This window comes from Homo sapiens, chromosome 8 (assembly GCF_000001405.40).
Source record: "Homo sapiens chromosome 8, GRCh38.p14 Primary Assembly".
Lineage (NCBI taxonomy): Eukaryota > Metazoa > Chordata > Mammalia > Primates > Hominidae > Homo > Homo sapiens.
The window spans coordinates 143,125,880-143,146,493 of record NC_000008.11 but is presented as its reverse complement, the minus strand read 5'-3'; the positions used below and the strand labels follow the sequence as shown (position 1 = coordinate 143,146,493).

Sequence of the window (20,614 nt, the reverse complement as noted above, 5' to 3'; positions counted from 1 at the left end):
CCAGATGGCCAAACACTCTTGTGAGAGAAGGAATATTTAGGGACTGAACACACCAGAGGCATTTGCGGGGCCATCACCAAGCATGCGTTTCCTCTCCAGCTGCAGCTCAGCCCTGGGTGGAGGCCACCACGTGGTCCCCGTTTCAAAGTGGGGAGAGGGCTGAGTTGCTCCAGGTTCCGCAGTTGGAAAGGGGAGGGGGCTGAGAATCACAGCCAGGCAAAAGCTCATGGAGGAGGCAGACCTGGGCCAGCAGACACCACATGTCCTGCTGAAGCTGTGGCAGTTAAGAGAGTGCAGCGTCCTTACCGGGATCCACAGTTGCCCAGCGAGGCAGAACAACGCACCCAGAAATAGGCCTGCTCACCAGTGCGGGAGGGGCGGGCCAGATCAGGGTCGCGAGGCCCTCTTCAATACACAGAGCAGAGATGGGAGCTGTCTGCATGGGAAGTCCCATTGGGTACTCATCGCACACCACCCACACCCACAGAATAAATCCAGGCTCAATCAAGGGAGTGAATGTCAAGAGCAAAACTTGAAAACCTCTTTTTTTTTTTGAGATGGAGTCTCGCTCTGTCTCCCAGGCTGGAGTGCAGTGGCGCAACCATGACTCACTGCAGCCTTGACCTCCCAGGTTCAAGCAATCTTCCTGCCTCAGCTTCCTAAGTAGCTGGGACCATAGGTGCACACCACAGTGTCCAGCTAATTTAAAATTTTTTTTTTTTTTTTTTTTTTTTTTTTTTTTTTTGTAGATAGAGAGTCCCTATGTTGCCCAGGCTGGTCTTGAACTCCTGGGCTCAAGTGATCCTCCTGCCTCTCAGCCTTCCAAAGTGCTGAGATTACAAATGTGAGCCACCTTGTCCAGCTAATTGAAAAAAAAAAATCTTTCTGTAGAGATGGGGTCTGAACAGTTAGTTGCCCAGGCTGGTCTTGAACTCTTGACCTCAAGGGATCCTCCCACCTTGGCCTCCCAAAGTGCTGGGATTACAGGCGTGAGCCACCTCACCAGGTCCCTGAAAAACTTTTACAAGAAAATAAAAATGAATTTCTGTGTGATTTGGAGAATTTCTTAAGTAAGACACAAATAGAAAATCTCATAACAAAAAATCGATAAATTTGACAAGAAAATTAAAAACTTTCATTTGTTAAAACGTATCTTAAAACAAAAGGTTAAATCACAAACTGGAAAAAGAGACATGCAACAAACGTACCCGACAAAGGGTTGGTACAAGAATAGATTAATGACACCCAGAGTCACAAAGAAGACAGGCAATGTCGGGGCCGAGAGCACAGACCTGCATACAGGAGAAATGCTCTGTTTCAGAAGCTCCCAGGGAGCGACAGCCACAGATGCAGATGAGCAAACATTTAGAGTCTGGTGATGCCACGTGCGGCAGAGACTGTTCTCTGCTGGGATCTCGTGGACTCTGCAGTTTGGAGATAAATTGGCACAGCCATGTGGGGAGACAGTGGGGTGGATTCTGTGGAGGTGAATGTTTGTGTCCCTCATACCCGAGCAATCTCTTTCTGGCATATCACCCAGAAAAACGTCTTGCATGTGAATATCAGGAGACGTGGGTGTGAATGTTACTGTGAACAGTTGTACTGTTCACAAGACCAAAAGTCTTGAAACAGCCAAAATGGCCTTCAGCAGAGAATGGGTTAAGGAAGCGCTGTGACACGCAAAGGAACATTGCACACGGCGGTGAGCAAGCCACAGTACGGAGCAGCGTGGGCATGTGCGGGCAGCGCTGAGCCAAGTACACAAGGGGGTCCCAGAAGACCACATCGAGCCAATGCTCTGACATAAGTCACTTTACAATGCTTTATAGAAATGCGACAGGAAAAATACAGCTTTACGGACTTCATGAAACTCTTTAGTCATCTACTTATCTACCTCTCCATCATCTGTCACATCTCCATCTTTCTGTCTCTTTATCCCTCTTATTTATCTCTTCTATCTCTCTGTCATCTATTTATGTGTGTCTCTATCTATCTATTATCTATCATCTATCCATCTATTATCTATCTTTCTATCATCTTGTGGGAAACAAACTTACCCATCCCAACCCAAAGAATGGACTTAGAAACTTGGAGAACAGTGAAAGTGAGACTTGTAATGATGATCTTGCGAGGTTGGGTGTCTGATGGACAGGCACACCTAGCACGACTTCAACAAGCAATTTATCCCCTAGTGCGCAGGTCTCTCCCCCGGTTCCTCATAGGCTGAGTATGATGGGGGTCACAGTCTTCCTGGACGTCACCTATTGGTTGTTGGGCAGGGGCTGTAGGTGTTTTCTTTAGGGTTGTCTTGCTGCATTTTGTTGTGGCCCACAATGCATTGCAATCCTAGTCAGCTTGGGGGCCTTTCAAGTATTTGACCTATGACCTAAGTAGCTGGGCAGGCTGATAAGAACAGAAAAAACGAGCTATTTTGCAGGCTAGTAAACTTTCATCTTAGACTAAACTTCTTTGGTTTGGGTGAGGGCAACTAAGGGGGGTTGGGGGCAACAAGTAAGTGCTGGCTGTCCAAGCAGGGGCCTAGTATATCCTGTTTCTTCTGTAGTTTGCTGGCCTAAGGCGATTTAAGGCACATTGTCTTGGAAATGGACCACTGTATGCATTATTTCCTTCAATCTCTATCCAGCTCTATCTATCTATCTATCTATCTATCTATCTATCTATCTATCTATCTATCCATCCATCCATCCATCCATCCATCCATCTGCCCGCCTGCCCGCCCACCCACCTGCCTACCTACCTACCCATCAGAGGAGACCAAGAACGATCAACTCAAGATTCTGGAGTCTGGTGTTTGGACCCTAGGAGGGGAGGCTAGAGGCTTGGGGTCTGACACCCCACAGAGGGCAGCACATTCTAGTGAAAGCCTAGGGTTTATGTTGGTGAGAGTTCATGGATGGTTTTTACATGTTCTTCTAAGAAGGAAGAAACCCAGTGATGAGGGTGTCACAGACCAAAGATCATGACCTGAGCTGTGAGAAATACTCTCACATGAAGACAAAACAAAGCCAAGCCCTCAGTGTTGTGTTTGTGTCAGGCCCCTCAGCATTGTGGAAAACTGGGGCCTGGGAACAGAAGCTGACAGTCCCCTTCTCTGGCTCTGGGCACCGCTGCAGGACGGTCCTCAGGAGACCCCTTCGTCGAGAGCCCCTTCCGTGAGGCCTGTCCTCCCCACACACACGAGTCATCGTCCTGGGGGACCAGTGCTGTGTTCAGTGCTGAAAATGCCGTCTCCGGGGAGACATGCCCCCGCTTCCTAAGTGGCGTGGCTGACCTCCCACTCTAGGGCCTGTCAGTGTTAGCAGGATGAATGTATTTCTGCAAGGGGGAGATTTGGAATGTGAGAAGAAAGGACATTTCCCCAGGGAGGAGAGGAGCAGGGTTTTGAGGGCCCCTGGACCTGCAGAGCTGGAGATGGGAGAAGGGGCCCTTGGCAGCAGGGTCCCCGGTGTGAGGGCCTTCCAGGGAGGACGGACAGGGTCTCAGGTTCCCTCATGTGAGGACCTCTGGGGAGGGAGGGACAGGGTCTCAGGTGTCCCATGTGAGAACCTCCTGGGGAGGGAGGAGGGACAGGGTCTCAGGTCCCCCATGCAAGGGTGAGCTGGCCTCCTGCGGAGGGAGGGACAGGGTCTGAGGTCCCCCTGTGTGAGGGCGAGCTGGCCTCCTGCAGGCGGAAGGACAGGGTCTGAGATCCCTCTGTGTGAGGGTGAGCTGGCCTCCTGGGGAGGGAGGGACAGGGTCTGAGGTCCCCCTGTGCGAGGGCGAGCTGGCCTCCTGCGGAGGGAAGGACAGGGTTTGAGATCCCTCTGTGTGAGGGTGAGCTGGCCTCCTGGGGAGGGAGGGACAGGGTCTGAGGTCCCCCTGTGCGAGGGTGAGCTGGCCTCCTGGGGAGGGAGGGACAGGGTCTGAGGTCCCCCCTGTGCAAAGGTGAGCTGGCCTCCTGGGGAGGGAGGGACAGGGTCTGAGGTCCCCCTGTGTGAGGGCGAGCTGGCCTCCTGGGGAGGGAGGGACAGGGTCTCAGGTGTCCTGTGTGAGAACCTCCTGGGGAAGGAGGAGGGACAGGGTCTGAGGTCCCCCATGCGAGGGTGAGCTGGCCTCCTGGGGAGGGAAGGACAGGGTCTGAGGTCCAGCGGCAGGAGCTGCCCATTGTGTGGGTCCCCCGTGTCTGCCGTGGCACGTTGCCATCTGCCAGTGGCATTAAACAACAGAAACGTATTCTCCCACAGCCCTGGAGGCCAGCAGTGTGAAATCAAAGTGTCGGGGGTGGGAGGGTCATGCTTCCTGTGAAGGCTCCGGGGAGGCTCTTGCCGCCTCTTCCAGCCTCAGGGGTCCGGGCGTTCCTGTGGCCGTGTCTCTGCAGTCTCTGCCTCTGCCTCCACATGCCTTCCTCTTCTCCTCTTCTCCTCTACTGTCTCTCATAATGACACATGTCATCACATTTAGGGGCCCCTGGACCATCTGGCATGGTCTTATGTCCATTCTTACCTTAGTGGTGTCCTTCTGAGGCTCTGGGTGGACGTGAGCTTTGGGCACCCTGCTCACCCCAATGCTGTGTCCCCTCACGCCTGCCTTCCCTTCACCCTGGCCTCTCCCTGCTCAGTCTCCTGCAGAGCTTTACTCACCTTTGCACTGAGAATCAGGCAGCCCTAAGCCTATCCCTGACCCTGACCCTGACCCTGACCCTGAGAATTGGCCACACCAAGTGCTCTGCCCAGTGGGCCCAGGGAGGGCTGCGCGCTGTGTGGGGACCAGAGGGCGGGGCAGCAGGCAGAGGGCGGTGAGGACTGGGGCAGGCATTTGGAACCCAAGTGGACAGGCGGCCACTGGGAGAAGCGAAGTGTCCGTGGGAAGCTCCGCAGCATTCGAGGTCCCTGTGGCTGCAGAAGGTGGGGCTCGAGTTCATTTCTTTGGTCGCGTGAACGTTGTCGGATGCAAAATGGAGGCGGGGCGCAGTGCCTCACGCCTGTACTCCCAGCACTTTGGGAAGCTGAGGTGGGTGGATCGCCTGGAGTCAGGAGTTCCAGACCAGCCTGGCCAACATGGCAAAATCCCCGTCTCTACTAAAAACACAAAAATTAGCTGAGCGTGGCGGCGGGCACCTGTAGTCCCAGCTACTCAGGAGGCTGAGGCAGGAGAATTGCTTGAGCTTGGGACGCGGCGGTTGCAGTGAGCCGAGGTCGCACCACCCTACTCCAGCCTGGGTGACAGAGCAAGACTCCGTCTCAAAAAAAAAAAAAAAAAAATGGAGCTGCTCGTGTCAAACCCTGGCAAAGCTGGGAAGGCCATGAACGGGGGAGTCTCACCCACGATTTGGCTGATAACAGGAACTCTCTCCAGAAAAGTTCCCTCACCGCAGCTCACTCCAGGAGTCACACAGGACAGCCAGTGGCAGAGCAGCTAGCCGCTTCCACCCGGTCTCACGGCCCAGCGTGCGCCCGTCGGGGCAACGCACTCCAGGGTCACAAGTGGCACTCAGCAACCCCTGACGCTCGCCAGTCCGCTCCTGTAAGTTGCTGCTGGTGCCAATGAGCTTCCTTTTAAAACAACTTGCATCGCCTCCTCTTTCCTTCATAAAACCGGAAACCTCTCCTTTGTTCTCCGTCCACACCGGAGGGCACCCCCTGACCTGAATGTATGTCCCGATTGGCAACCCTACTTGTATATTACTCTCAAATAAAGCCGTTTTTCACTTCGATGTTTTGCTCTATGTTTTTATGTCGACAGTCACTAAAGGGGAAGGTGTTGCGGAGGCTGGAGAATGTGGACCCGCTGTGTTAGAACTGGCAGGCGGCGTTGCTGACTGTTGCTACGCTTCTGCTGGGCAGACAATGCAGTTTCCCGACAGTGCTGTGGAGCGGGGAACGGGGCACCTTCCCCGCTGAGTTGGGGAAAGTGTTACTTGAATGACGTGTTCGTTTTAGAGCTGGCCAGGAACCCTTGCCCCATCCTGGCCTCTCTGCCTCCCCGTGAGGTCCCGTGTGAGCGAGCTCACCAACGTTACTTATTGGTGAGAGTGAAGCAATAAACAGTCAGTTAAAAAAAATCTAGTTAATTGAATAGTTGAATTTTCATGGCCTGCAGAGGAAGTCCATGATGTGAATTACAGGCTTTCAAATCAAAGGATGCTGACAGGCACAGGCTGGCATCACATAAATAAAACCAAATCACTTACAATTGTGTTGTGTATGCTTTCCACTGTTTTAACCCTATTAGCCAAATCAAAGCTGCAGCTCCAAGTAAAAAGTGTGCTGTGAAATCACAAATTTATCCCATAAGGGAGCTGAACAACACTCAGTGCCCACCTGGAACCTGGCTTGCGGTCACCATGGGAGAGGCTCTGCTCTTCTCTCTCAACGCTACAACAACAGAGAGAAGAAATGGGCAATCAGAGGCTCAGGAGATATCAGGAAAATTCAGGAAAGTCGCCCTTGGGACCCACGGGCTCTGCCGTGCCAGCTGCACCTCCCCTGGCCTGTGGGGAGTGATGGTGATGGTGTTGTGTCTCTGTTTGCTGTGAACTTGTCCCATCCCAGGGATGGGGAAGGCCCTCCCCTCACTCCAAGGCCAGTGTCTCGAGATACCACCTTCCCATAAGAAGCTTTTGAAATACTCAGAGGCCATTGATGATCAACCTTGGTTTTTGTGGCTCGAGAAAGAAGTGACCAGAACCAGGTTTAGTTTTAGGGGTTTGGCAATGTTTTTGGCTTGGGTAAAACACTGATATGGATCAAGATTTTAGGGCCGGGTGCGGTGGCTCATGCCGGTAATCCCAGCACTCTAGGAGGATGAGGCAGGAGGATCCCTTGAGCCCCAGAGTTTGAGACCAGCCTGGGCAACATAGTGAGATCCCTGTCTCTACAAAAAAAATAAGTAAATTATCTGGGCGTGATGATGGGCTCCTGTGGTCCCAGCTACTTGGGAGGCCAAGGCAGGAGGATCCCTTAAGCCCAGAATTTCGAGACTAGCTTGGACAACATGGTGAGACCTGTTTCTGTGATAAATAAATAAATACATAAATAAGCCGGGCATGGTGGTGTGCACCTGTGGTCACAGCATATGGGAGGCTGAGGGAGGAGGATCGCTTGAGCCCTGGAGGTTGGGGCTGCAATGAGCTATGATTGTACCACTGCACCCCAGCCTGGGCAATACAGCGAGACTCTGTCTCAAAGAAGAAACAATTAAAAAATGTTTTTGTGAACCTGACTTCCCCGAGGCTGTGGGCGAGGCTTCCACTTGGCCGTAAGGGCTTCAGTTCAGTGGAACCAAAGAATGGTTCTGAATTAGCGACTGCAGGAGGGTTACGTTTACTCAACAGATATTTATTGATTGCCGTTTCAGATATGTATTTCTTGGTAACAAACCACTCTAAAGCTTGGTGACTTTAAAATGACTGTCTTATCATTTCTCACAATTCTGCAGGTTGATTGAGCTGGGCTCAGCCAGGGTGGCTCATTTCTGCTGCAGGTGGTACCAGCCAGGGTCACTCATGCAGGTGCAGTTTGGACTGGGGGCACCCTGGCTGGAGGGCTGGGCCTCTGTCTCCTCCGTGGCCCTTTATCTCAGGGCCTCTCTGTCCACTCAGTCTTTAGCGTGGGGCTTCTTAACTACGAGCTGTTGGTGCTGGGCCGGATTGTTCTCTGCTGTGGGCTGCCCTGTGCACTGAAGGGGGTTTAGTAGCACCCCTGGCCTCCACCTGCTGGACAGCAGTAGCATCCCCCCACCCAGTGTGACAACTAAATATGCCTCCAGATGTCCTCTGGGGACAAAATCTCTCCCTGTGGAGAACTGCAGGGCAGCCTGGACTTCTTTTGACCGAGCACTCCCAAGAGAGCAAGAGCAAAGCCTGCCAGGCCACTTAGAATTGGCCTGGAATCGGCATTGCATCCTTTCCTATTCAGTGGTCAAAGCCCACGGGGCTGGTTAATTTCATGGGGAAGAGGACAGAGGTTCCACCAAGGGTCAGGAGCACTGACTAAGTCACATCATGAAGGGATATGAGAGGAGCCGCTGAGCCACCTCTGAAAACAATATGGAGAATGCCCGCCATGGGACACATGTATCATATCAAGGGTCCTCATATCACAGGCTATCATATCATGGGCTATCATGTCATGTGCTCTCATATCACAGGCTATCATATCATGAGCTATCATGTCATGTGCTCTCATATCACAGGCTATCATATCATGGGCTATCATGTCATGTGCTGTCATATCACGGGCCATCATATGGGCTATCGTATCACAGGCTATCATGTCACATGATGTCACATCACGTGCATCATATCATGGGCAAACAGGAGACCAGGGCTTCACCCCCATTGATTTCACTCTGGGGGGTTGCTAGGAGATACATATAGAGTATTTAAACATATAAAGAGGTAATTTAAAAATTAATCCATGGGCCAGGTGCGGTGGCTGATGCCTGTCATCTCAACACTCTGGGAGGTAAGGTGGGAGGACCCCTTGAGCTCAGGAGTGTAAGACCAGCCTGGGCAAAACAGTGAGACCCCCATCTCCATAAAAAATAGAAAAATTAGCTGGGTGTGGTGGCGCCACCTGTAGTCCCAGCTACTCAGTGGGGAGGATTGCTTGAGCTGGGGAGGTCAAGGCTGCAGTGAGTCGAGATCACACTCCAGTCTGGAAAACAGAGTGAGACCCTGTCTTAAAAAAATAAGGCAATACATGCTTTTTGTACCTCCATGGTCATAGCAGCATTGTTCATAACAGCCAAGAGGTGGAAGGAAGCGACTCAGTGCCCACTGACAGATGAATGCATGAAACATGAAATATATATTCAATGGGACACTGTTTAGCCTTAACAAGGAAGGACATTCTGACACCTGCTACAACAGGGATGCACCTTAAGGAGTCTCTAGAGTAGTCAGATCTTTTTTTTTTTTTTTTGAGACAAGGTCTTGCCCAGTTGCCCAGGCTGGAGTGCAGTGGCGCAATCACAGCTCACTGCAGCCTCAACCTCCTGGGCTCAGGTGATCCTCCCACCTCAGCCACCTGAGTAGCTGGGACTACAGGCAGTTACCACCATGCCTGGATAATTTTTGTAGTTTTTGTAGGGACGGGGTCTGGCCATGTTGCCCAGGCTGGTCTGGGACTCCTGGACTCATGTGATCCTCTCGCCTTGGCCTCCCGAAGTGCAGGGATTACGAGCATGAGCCACCGCGCCCCAGCCAAGTAGTCAAATCGATAGAGATGGAAAGTAGAATGGTGTCTGCTGGGGCTGGGGAGTGAGACGTAGGGATGAGTGTTTGATGGGGACAGTTTCAGTGTGGGAAGGTGAAGAGAGCTGGAGATGATGGTGGTGATGGCCGCGCAACAGTGCGAAGGTGCTTAAGGCCACTGAACTGTACACTTAACAAATGGTTCAAATGGTAAATTCTATGTTATGTGTATTTTACCACAATTTTAAAAAGCAATACATGCTATAAAAGAAAGAATAGGCCGGGCGCAGTGGCTCACACCTGTAATCCCAGTACTTTGGGAGGCCAAGGCACGTGGATCACCTGAGGTCAGGAGTTTGAGATCAGCCTGGCAAACATGGTGAATCCCCATCGCTACTAAAAATAATAATAAAAAAATTAGCCGGGTGTGGTGGCAGGTGCCTGTGATCCCAGCTACTTGGGAGGCTGCGGCGCAAGAACTGCTTGAACCTGGGAGGCGGAGGTTGCAGTGAGCTGAGATCACACCACTACACTCCAGCCTGGGCAACAAGATTGAAACTCCATCTCAAAAAAAAAAAGAAAAAAGAAGAAAGAAAAGGACAGAAAGAATAGCCCTCATGGTAAGGACTGAGGCTACCCCTCTGGTGTGGTCAGCCACAGCCTCTCTGAGGGGTGCCGTGTGACTTTATGGACGAAGGCTAACAGAGCTGCGGGGTCAGAGGCAACTGCAGGGCAGGAAGCAGCAGTGCAGGGGCCGGGCAGGCGGTGCAGAGCTGGGGGCATCAGGCCTGTGCACACCCACCAGGGCTGGCCCAGGTAGGCGGGCGGTGCAGAGCCGGGGGCGTCAGGCCCGTGCACACCCACCAGGGCGAGCTCAGATTGGCCACAGGGGATGAGCCACCGTCAGCAAAGCAGGCAGCAACCACAAGTTTTTATTACAATCACACTTTCAAAAGACATTCTGTAATTTCAGTTTGGACTTCTCCTTTCACCCAAGAGTTGTTTTTAAACTTCCGGGTGGAAGGGCCCTTTACAATAGTACTGTTGATAAATTCTCATTATCTTTTCATCGTGACCAGAGTGCGCGGTTTCCAGTTTCTCGCTTATGGGGTTTCCTGGTGTCTTCTTTGTGACCTTCTGTGCCGATGCTGCCTGTGGGTGGCCGGGTCAGGTTCCCAACTTCGCTGCACAAAAGAATTTGAGATCGAGTCCACAGAAACAGCAGGCAAAGGAGGTTTTTTTCTTTCTTTTTTTTTTTTCTTTTTTTTGAGATGGAGCTTTGCTCTTGTTGCCCAGGCTGGAATGCAATGGCACGATCTTGGCTCACCACAACCTCCACCTCCTGGGTTCAAGTGATTCTCCTGCCTCAGCCTCCTGAGTAGCTGGGATTACAGGCATGCGCTACCACGTCTGGCTAATTTTGTATTTTTAATAGAGATGGGGTTTCTCCATGTTGGTCAGGCTGGTCTCGAACTCCCGACCTCAGGTCATCCGCCAGCCTCGGCCTCCCAAAGTGCTGGGATTACAGGCATGAGCCACCATGCCCAGCCAAGAGTTTATTGCAGAGCAAAAGTCCACCCTGAGAGACAGAGTGGCTGCTCAGTGAGAGAGCAGTCCCTGGTGTCTTGAGGGGGATATTCCCTTTGTGGGAGCTGTACATACAATCCTGGTGAGTCAGGTGTGCAAAGGTGGACCTGCGGCTGGTGAACGCATCACATGGATCACTAGCGTTTAACATCTCCATCCAGGGTGTGCTTTTTACTACAAAAACGAGAGAAGGGTTACTATGAGGTTGGTGCGAAAGTAATTGCTGTTTTGTCTATTACTTTCAATGGCAAAACCCACAGTTACTTTTGCATCAACCGAATACGAGGTACACCTTGAGCCTAGCTGTGCGTGCAGGACCCCTGAGGCAGGAATGTGTCGCTGATGGCTTCATGGGCTTCTGGTGCTGATTGGCTGGAGACTGGCGAAGCTACATCAGGAATAAGGGGCTTTTGTTCTCTTTCCTGCCATATCAGGTATCAGGAACTTGTAAGCATCTGGCCATCTGCTGGTGTCTGGCAGGGCTCTTGACCTTGCAAGAGAGCTGGGTGCTGAGCACAAGGGGTGAGGGACGGAGAGCCCAAGAGGCTTCACACAAGGGACAAGTCAATGTGGCCTCCTGACCTTACCTATCCCGCGTCAGCGACAGTCTGTGTTTTCTGTGCACGTGAGAAAGTGTGTTTTTGATGCATTTACCTTTTTTTTTTTTTTTTTTTGAGACTGAGTCTCTGTCTATCACCCAGGCTGGAGTGCAGTGGCCCGATCTCGGCTCACTGCAATCTCTGTCTCCCAGGTTCAAGCGATTCTCGTGCCTCAGCCTCCTGAGTAGCTGAGATTACAGGTGTGTGCCACCATGCCCGGCTAATTTTTGTATTTTTATTTTAGTAGAGATGGGGTTTCACCATGTTTGCCAGGCTGGTCTTGAACTCCTGACCTCAAGTGATCCACCCACCTCGGCCTCCCAAAGTGTTGGGATTACAGGCGTGAGCCACCGCGCCCGGCCTAGGATTGCATTTATCTTTGATGTCTGTATGATACACAGGTCTTCTAAGCCCTCAGCTACTCTTCGTCCGCTTGGCCTTACTGATAGAATGCTAACAGTGCTATGTTAAAGTCTCTCATGACTAGTGTTTTTGTATTTATTTCTCCTTCTGTCTCCGGAGTGTCTGCTTTATAAAAGTGGCTGCTTTATTATTTGGTGCATAGTCATAACTGTTATTTTTACATTATGAATTGCGGATTTTTGCATTAAAATATTTGTTGTCGCATTTAATGTTTTATTTTGTCATGACTCTGGCTTTCTTATTGTCCATTTGCCCACATTTTTAGTTTTGGCCTGTCAGAATCATTTTTTAGGTGTATATCTTTTATTTGGCATATAGTTGGTCTTGTTTTATGACCCAAACTAAAAATGTTTTTCTTTTTTTTTTTTTTTGAGACGGAGTCTCGCTCTGTTGCCCAGGCTGGAGTGCAGTGGCGCGATCTCGGCTCACTGCAAGCTCCGCCTCCCAGGTTCATGCCATTCTCCTGCCTCAGCCTCCTGAGTAGCTGGGACAACAGGCGCCCACCACCACGCCCGGCTAATTTTTTGTATTTTTAGTAAAGATGAGGTTTTACCATGTTAGCCAGGATGGTCTCAAACTCCTGACCTCGTGATCCGCCCGCCTCAGCCTCCCAAAGTTCTGGGATTACAGGCGTGAGCCACCGCACCTGGCCCTAAAAATGTTTTTAACAGGTGAGTGAAGCCCACTTATTTGTGTTAATGTGACTGACATTTTGGTCTGAACTCTACCATATTACCCACCGGAGCGGGACAGGGGCCCGTGTGGCTGGAGCCCAGACAGGCAGGACGTGTGGGAGGATGGAGACCAGACCGCACAGGGCTGTGCCTCCCTCAGGGTCACCAGGAGACAGAAATCACACAGCCAGCAGGCAGGGGAAGTTTACTGGGGTTATTAACAGGTAGTAGGGGCTGGATATTGGGAACAGCTGTGAAGGGGCACAGAGACCTCTAAGAGGCAGGAGGGGCGGGCCCAAAAGCAACCACAGCTTGAGGGCTGGGCGGAGCCAAATGTGTTTGGGGGAGGTCCCTCATCAAGGCTGAGCTTCAGACCCTACTGAAGCAGCAGCGCCTCAGCCAAGGCTGGCAGGAGAGCGCCCTTTGGGAGCTGCAGCAGGAGCCGTCCACACTGGCAAGGAACCGTCCCACTGGCAAGGAGCTGTCCACGCTGGCAAGGCCCTCAGAGGCCACTAGGAGCTGTTTGCTGGGCACCACTGAAACTGCGGGCTGGAAGCTCCTCTGGGTGTCCTGAGGGCCAGGCCAGTGAGTGCCGCAGGGGCAGGTAGGAGGCAAAGCAATAGTGCGGGATTGGGAGGTGGCTGCCCGAAGCGTCCTCCCCTCTGAGGAAGGGTCAGTGCAGGAGCAGCGCTGGAGGATACGGCTCTGCGGCTGCAGCTGGACTGGAGGCAGAGGGTGTTTGGAGCACAGAGCCACAGGGGTCCCCAGTGCTGGCTGCTTTGCAGGGCGGCTGGACTGTTTGGTGACTAATGGAAGCACTGGGGAAGCCATTGAAGGGTTTTAATCAGTGGCATGACCTGATCTGTATTTCAGAAAGGTCACTGCGGATCCAGTCTGAAGAGTGGAGTGGGCTGGAGACCCTGGGTGCTGATGCCAGGCGACGGTGGGGCTGGGGAGGGCTGCACAGGTGCGTTTTGTAAAATTATAATGGACACGAGATAGACGCTCGGCATCCTGATCCAGGAGAAGTCTCAACAAGGGACAGCTGGTGTGGCTGAGTGTGTCCGGAAAGAAGGGAGATGGGTTAAATAGTAAAAAATATTAAGACTAATGTTGGTAAATGCTCCTAATCATTTTCTAGATATTAATTATTCCAAATGTTAATTATCTTCGTGACCTTGGTGTGCAAGGACTGGCTGGTGTCCTGAAAAGCACTCTTGGAAGTGCCAGGGTTCCGCTGTGCTGTGCCCCACTGAGATTTCCTTAACAGTCCATCCTTGTCATTCCTGGAGTCTGTATGCGATTCTTCTACTTGCTAAAATGTAGCTGTAAGGCCAGGTGCGGTGGCTCACACCTGTAAATCCAGCACTTTGGGAGGCCGAGGTGGGCTGATCACGAGGTCAGGAGTTCAAGACCAGCCTGACCAATATGGTGAAACCCCGTGACTTTAAAAATACAAAATTAGCTGGGCGTGGTGGTTACTTGGGAGGCTGAAGCAGGAGAATCGCTCGAACATGGGAGGTGGAGGTTGCAGTGAGCCAAGACCACACGGCTGTACTCCAGCCTGGGCGACAGAGCTAGACTCCGTCTCAAAAAAAAAAAGAAGCTGTAATCCCCAAACACTTACTTGCACGGAGCGGCGACAATTCTGAGTCACCGGAGTGCGTTCTTGGCTGAGGTTGCGCAGGGCGGCCTTCTTGCTCCAGCTTGTGCTGCAATCAAGAGCCCTTTTCGTGGTCTATCTGGTGCCATTTTTTTTTTTTTTGCATTTTTGTGCTTTTTGTGGGTGACTTTGCTGTTTGCAATGTCCCCAAGCATTGTCCCGAGGTGCTGCCTCACGTCCTAGGCAAGGAATGCCTGGGTCAGAGAAGCTTTGTCCAGGCTTACGGTGCTTGGCACCGATTGCAATGTTAATGAAGCCACCACGTGCATTCAGTAAGGGATCTTTAAATAGAAACACAGAGAATGAGATGATATATTGATCGGCTGATGAAAACGGAGCCAGAGGCTTGCGGGACCCTAACCCTGTGTGTCTGCTAGCAGCAGGGGCTCAGCGTTCTCTAACTCAGCCTTCGCAGGGGCTCTGCAGACTGGAGCTAAGGTGGGTTGTGAGAAGTGGTGGCAGGTGCAGCCCAGGAGAGCCTTGCAAACAGCTGCCTTAGATGACCGGGTCTCGAGAGCTGTGTCAGACAGCGTGGGGTTGGTTTTCTGGGCCTCCATCGCCTGCTCTTTGGCTGGGGCATGAAGAAGCTAAACGGTGGTTTCTTCCTTGGCCAGGAAAGGAGGACACACTGTTAGGTTTTTCAGTTTCCTAACAGTTGTCCAAAGAGAATCAGAACTGCCAGTGGGAAGAGGAATATTTAAGGGGAATAATCCCGGCTCTGATTATCCACGCATAGGGAGGATAATCCAGTCCAGCCGGCTCAGGGGCTCAGGTGGGTTCCATCACGGTCTTTGTTCACCCATGAGAACGCGGCTGAGGGAGCAGGGGGCCTCATTCCGGGCACATGCGGCCCACACAGCTGTCCTTTTACATTGGTGGCACTCAGGCTGCGGGAGAACAGCGATGGGTTGAGGGGCCGTTGTCAGCACTGCTCCCTCAGGACTCAGGCTACTGCCCGGCCCCGACCTGGCCTCTGACCTCTACAGCATCAGATGCCAGGGATGAGAGTGTTCAGTAGCCCCTCCTGGGTGAGGAAGGATGCACACTGGCCCAGGGCTGGGGACGGGTGTCCGATTTCCATCGATTCCCGTATGAGTGGCCTTTACAGCCTCCCGGGCCTGTGTCTGGATCCTGGAAGAGGTCGCCCTCTGCTGTCCCTACTCAGGATAACAAGCCTCCTGCTCTTCATGATGAGCGTGCAGGGACACTGTTTCTGCCGCACTCAGGGCCCCAAGACCAAATTCTAAAATCTCCCCAAACCTTCAGCAGGGTGGGGCCAACCCTCATGAGACCAATGCATCTGTTTCTGCCTGGAGATCGCTGGGGCTGGTTCACACTTGGCACGTTCGGACTCGCAGATCAAGCTCTGAGGCAGGGAGGAGGCAGCAATGCCCCCTCCACATGCAGGCAGCGCCTGGCAGGTCCGGGGTCACCCCAGAGTGGAGGCCAGGCTCCTGGGCATTCCCCACCCTGGGATCCCTGCACTGTTCTCATCTGTCCTCCGAGAGGGGCAGACGGCAGCGACGGCTGGAGGCCGCACTCATGGGCACTGCAGACTTAGAGAAGCCAAAGTGCGTTTTATGCTGAGCCAAGAGTGAGTGGCAACCCGGAACACAGGTTCCATCGGCTGAGGAGGCAGGAGGGGTGGTTCCACAGCCTGAGAGGGGCAGTGCGCTCAGGGGGACCTCGCAGTCCTGCCTGGCCTCGGTGCCTTGTACACAGGTGGAGTGGACACGTGGCTGGCACACAGGGTGGAAAGCTGGCACCTACTGGAGCCTCAGGGTCTGCAGGGGCGACTGTTCTGTCCTGCCTCATCTGACAGGCACGGCAGTGACCAGGACACGTCAGTGAGACAATGCAGATTCCAGCCTCATAGGCCAGGCCTGCCTCCTACTACCCGTGTGGCCAAACTGCAGCCATCTTGGTCCACTTTTGAAAATGTTTCTTTCGGATCTTTCTGGCTGGTGCCTCTGCTGCGGAATAGCAGCTCCAGTGGGTTACCTGTCAGGAGCGCCCCTGGAGGTGCAGCTTCCCTCGTGCTCTGAATTACTCAGGTGAAGTCAGCAGGAATCCGATTCCCATCTCTGGGAAAAGCACCTCTGGCTTCTTTATCATCAGCCTTTACTTGGCCCCAGGTCTGGGAGAGGTGGCAAGAGTATTACCCTCTTGCTCTAGGGCCATCACGGAAGGAGCCACTTGCACCCCTGCAGGATCACGGGACCCTGTGGGTATCCCCCTGCCTGCAGGAGCCCCCCATTTCCACGGTTCCTGTTGGATCCCCCACTGCAGCTCTGCCTTCGAGCAGGCACCCGGCACAGCCCTGTGGTGCTGTGTCTCGGCCTGCTGCTGCCACAGGACTCGCCGGTGAGGAGCCACGGGGCAGCCCTCCTGCTGGCCACATTTGCAGGAAGTCCCGCCATGGGGTCCAGTCATGACCAGTCTAATGTCCCTTCTGGAGCCTGTGCCGCCCACTTTAGTGCTTGGGCATGGGGTCCTGGGACCACTGGCTCAGGCAGAAGAAGAGAAACCTTTGGGAGGTGGGGAAGGTACAGAGGGTCCAATTGCACCCCCCACACGCCCTCCTCCTTCCCCCAGCCCTGAAGCCTGTGAGCGGCCTGCCTGCCTTCCCCTCAGGCTCAGTCTGAAGACACCCCAGTTAAGCGACTCCACCAACTGGTCACGTTTCTCACACCTGCCTGAATAACCTGTCTTCCAGTGGCCCATTGCAATTTTCAGCATGGCCACAGCTGGACGGGACGAGCAGTGTGGTGCACACGTATGCTTGCCGTGTTTCCTGGACCGTCTCAGTGTCCTGGTGCCAGCAAGAGTGGGTACCTGGATCAGAAGAAGTAGGTCCAAGTCGGCTGAAATTGACAGAGGACTCACCATTCTAAACACCTCATGCTGTTCCCAAGGTTGCTTCTGTTACAAATAAGCCAAGTCCAGAATAGAGTGTCGTGAGAGCGTGAGATACAGCTTAGCTCCTTCCTGGAATCTCTGGAGTGACAAGAGTCTCTTTTGTAGTGAGTGTGATGAAGTTTGGGTTGATCATCAATAGCCAACGATGCAATCAATCATGTATATGTAATGAAGCTTCCATAAAAACCCAAAAGGAGCTTTCAACAGTTGGACGCACGCAGGTGCCTGGAGGACGGCGCCCAGGAGGGCACAGGAGCTCTGCCATTCTCCCCTGTGCCTTGCAAAACCCAAGGAACTTCCCATCTCCAATGCGCGGATGTTGGGTGGAGGCCTGGGGCTGTCTGGAAGCTGCACATGTACGTGCCTGTCTCCTCCACCCCCCGTGCCTCCGCACCTTCGTCACAGCCTGTGTCATAAATGGGTAAACGCAGGGCGGCGTGTCCCTGAGTCCTGTGAACCACTCCAGCAATTCATCAAACCGGAGGAGGGGGTTGTGGGAACCCTGATTCATGGCAGTTCCGTCAGAAGCCACACCCGGGGCTTGCAACTGGCATCAGAAGTGGGGCCCCTTGCACGGGACTGAGCCCTCGATCTGTGGGATCTGACGCTACCTCCAGGCGGATGCGGTGGGAAATGACTTAAACCGTAGGATGCTCAGACAGTGTCCTGCAGCACTGCTTGGTGTGCAGGAAACAAGGCCCTGCCCACATCTGGTGCAAGAGTGCCTGTGGCTGTGTTGGGATGGGAAGAGCTCCTTGGTGTGTCCTGTATTGCTTGGTGTGTCCTGAGTGCTCCCTTGGTTCCGGGCCTCCTGATAGGCCATAGGCACCCAGGGTCCCCCTTGCCTGCTGTGGCCAGGCCTTGTCCTTCGGGGGTGCCACCCAAAGCTATTTGCAAATGCTTTCTGGTCAGCGGTGGATGTGGTTTCTTCTCATGCTAGTTGTTGCGCTGGGCACAAGGGGACCCCATGCTCCCTCCTGCTGGCTCCTTCCCTAACCTGCTGGGCGCATTCTGGGATCTGACCAAGGCGCTACCATTCAACCCCTTCTGAGCTGGCAACAGGAGTTTTTGGCAGGAATTCCCATTCCTGAGGGCACCCTGGGGATTTTCCAATTGTCCAGTTCTCTGGGGTGCATTTGCCTGGCATCCTGCGGGGCCGTTGTCCAGCCCGAGTTGGCAAATCCCTAAACGCCCCCAGAGCAGGGGCCTGACTCCTTTTTCACTCCTTTTCAGCTCCCGCATTAGGGAGGTTGCCTGTCCTGCCTCCACCTGTGTGGCGTGGGGAAGCTGATTTACAAACAGCAGAAGGGCCCCCGGCATGGGAAGAGTCCGGGCCAGGCAGCCTGCTCTGCCGGCTGGGGGACCGCCTGATGCAGGGGCCAGGCCAGGAGGTCCGCGGGGGCTGCTTTACAGCCCTCTGGGCAGCAAAGCAAGCTGGTCTCTGTGCAGCCCACTCCCTGCCATTCCCCACCATGCCCCTCCTATGTCCCTCCCATGCCCTGCCATTCCCCGCCATGCCCCTCCCATTCCCCCGCCATTTGCCGCCATTCCTCACCATTCCCCTCTCGTTCCCTGCCATTCCCCGCCATGCCCCTCCTATGTCCCTCCCATGCCCCTCCTATGTCCCTCCCATGCCCCGCCATTCCCCGCCATGCCTCTCCCATTCCCTCCCATTCCCTTCCATGCCCCTCCCATTCCCCCGCCATTTTTCGCCATTCCCCACCATTCCCCTCTCATTCCCCGCCATTCTCTGCCATGCCCTACCATGCCCCGCCATGCCCCTCCTATGTCCCTCCTATGTCCCTCCCATGCCCCTCCCATGCCCCGCCATTCCCCGCCATTCCCCACCATACCCCTCACATGCCCTGCCATTCCCCGCCCAGACCCTTGGTAACCTGGTCCCTGTCACCCATGCCCCGCTGGGCCCCTCACTGTTGCCGCTGGACATTAAACCCGCCAAGGGGCTTTCATGGGTTGCCCCTCTTTCTCCAGTGCTTCTTCACGCCACCTGGGACGTGGCCAACTTTTCTGGTGTCGGGATCATCTAACGCTCTTCCATGCACAAGAGTTCCAATGACCCACCCACCCAAGCTTCCTTCCCCCATCCCCTACCACTCCTCCAATACCCGTGGGTGCTGCCGGGAAGGGGCGTTGCAGATGTGCCGTGTGTCCCAGGTCAGCCGACCTTAGGGTCCGTGGATGCAGGTGGGCCTGGTCGAATCACGCCAGCCCTTTAAAAGCAGAAGAAGAGTCAGAGGCCAGGGAAGAGTGCTGTGGGGCCGTGCGAGATGGCAGCCTGAACGGTGGAGACCAGGTCCTGCTGACCGCCAGCAAGGAGACGGAGAATGCAGCTCTACAGCCGGGAAAAGAGTCTGCCATCCATCCGAACAGCCCTGGGCCTCCACCCAGGAGCCCAGCTGTCACACCTCAACTGCAGTCTGTGAGACCCCGCCCAGCCGAGCCCTCGCACTCCTACCCCTCTGGAGCTGCCAGGCAGTCAACAGGCACTGACCCACACTGTGGGGTTGTGGTGGCTCGTAGTGCAGCGAGGGCCCCAGCACGGGCATCTTCCCAGCACGGCTGCCAGCTCACGGTGGTCTCCCAGGCAACATGAAAGAAATGCATCAGGTAGCCCCTGGGCCCCAAACGTGATTTGCATTTCTGCCAAAAGCCAATCTTTTCTGACCAAGACCTGGGCCCTCCCAGTAGCACCTGAGTGGCCCCGTGGGCTGCCTGGGCCATGTCCCAGCTTGTTTCTGGGCAGGGCCCTTTCACATCGAGGTCTTTCCCCCAGTGACACTGTGACTAGAATCACAGGATTTCTGGATGAGGAATGTAATTTTGCAAAAACCTATACAGTTTCAGTCTTAGGGGCTTCTGTTTAGTGGCAACATTGGTGTCAATGGCATTAAATTAGGCGTCCCCTTGTTCACCGTAAAGCCAGCCTAGGGTCACCTGCACTTGTAACTTCCCAACAGCTTTGGAAGCAAGATGCCATTTGTGGGTTGGTGGGGGGCAGTCACTCCTCTCAGGGTAAAACCCCCACCTTTGCCACCTGCAGCAAGTGACGTATGGACCCACCTGGAAGCATTTGATCACAAGAGCTTGCAGCGTCTTGGGGACTGGTTCTTGGCCCTGACCATCACTTCCATGCAGTGGTATCTAGAATCAGTGGTGTGCCCGCCCCTCGCACTGATAATTTAGGAAACTGTGCCCATCCTGAGCCATCGGGCTTTGCCTGCCGCTCTCCCCAAATGTCCTGGCTCTTCTCAGAGGACCCTCGGGTTTCCGCAGCCGCCTGCCATGCCCTTCCACCCGCAGCATGGGTTTGCAGCCAGTCAGGTTTCTCAGCTGAGTTACTTTTTGGATGAATGTCACATCTGTTTAATTGGCCACTGGAGAGAGGAGACTGCACTGACCCGAGGACCGGGTCTGGTTTCTTTCTTGTGCCCCAGCTGCTTCTTCCAGTGGCCTTGTTTCTGTCTGGGTGTCAGTGGCACCTGCCATGGAAGAGCTGTTTCTCTCGCCTCCCTTGTGCCGGTCTTTGGCCAGC

At 53.8% G+C, this 20,614-nt stretch overlaps 2 annotated features.

Annotated features, from left to right (window-relative positions):
• Positions 5,261 to 5,999: an enhancer, noted in NCBI's record as "H3K4me1 hESC enhancer chr8:144221912-144222650 (GRCh37/hg19 assembly coordinates)". NCBI's record gives its function as "activates a minimal SCP1, AML or CMV promoter by ChIP-STARR-seq in primed H9 embryonic stem cells {active_cell/tissue: H9 hESC(primed)}" and the evidence as "EXISTENCE:reporter gene assay evidence [ECO:0000049][PMID:30033119]".
• Positions 19,041 to 19,600: an enhancer, noted in NCBI's record as "H3K4me1 hESC enhancer chr8:144208311-144208870 (GRCh37/hg19 assembly coordinates)". NCBI's record gives its function as "activates a minimal SCP1, AML or CMV promoter by ChIP-STARR-seq in primed H9 embryonic stem cells {active_cell/tissue: H9 hESC(primed)}" and the evidence as "EXISTENCE:reporter gene assay evidence [ECO:0000049][PMID:30033119]".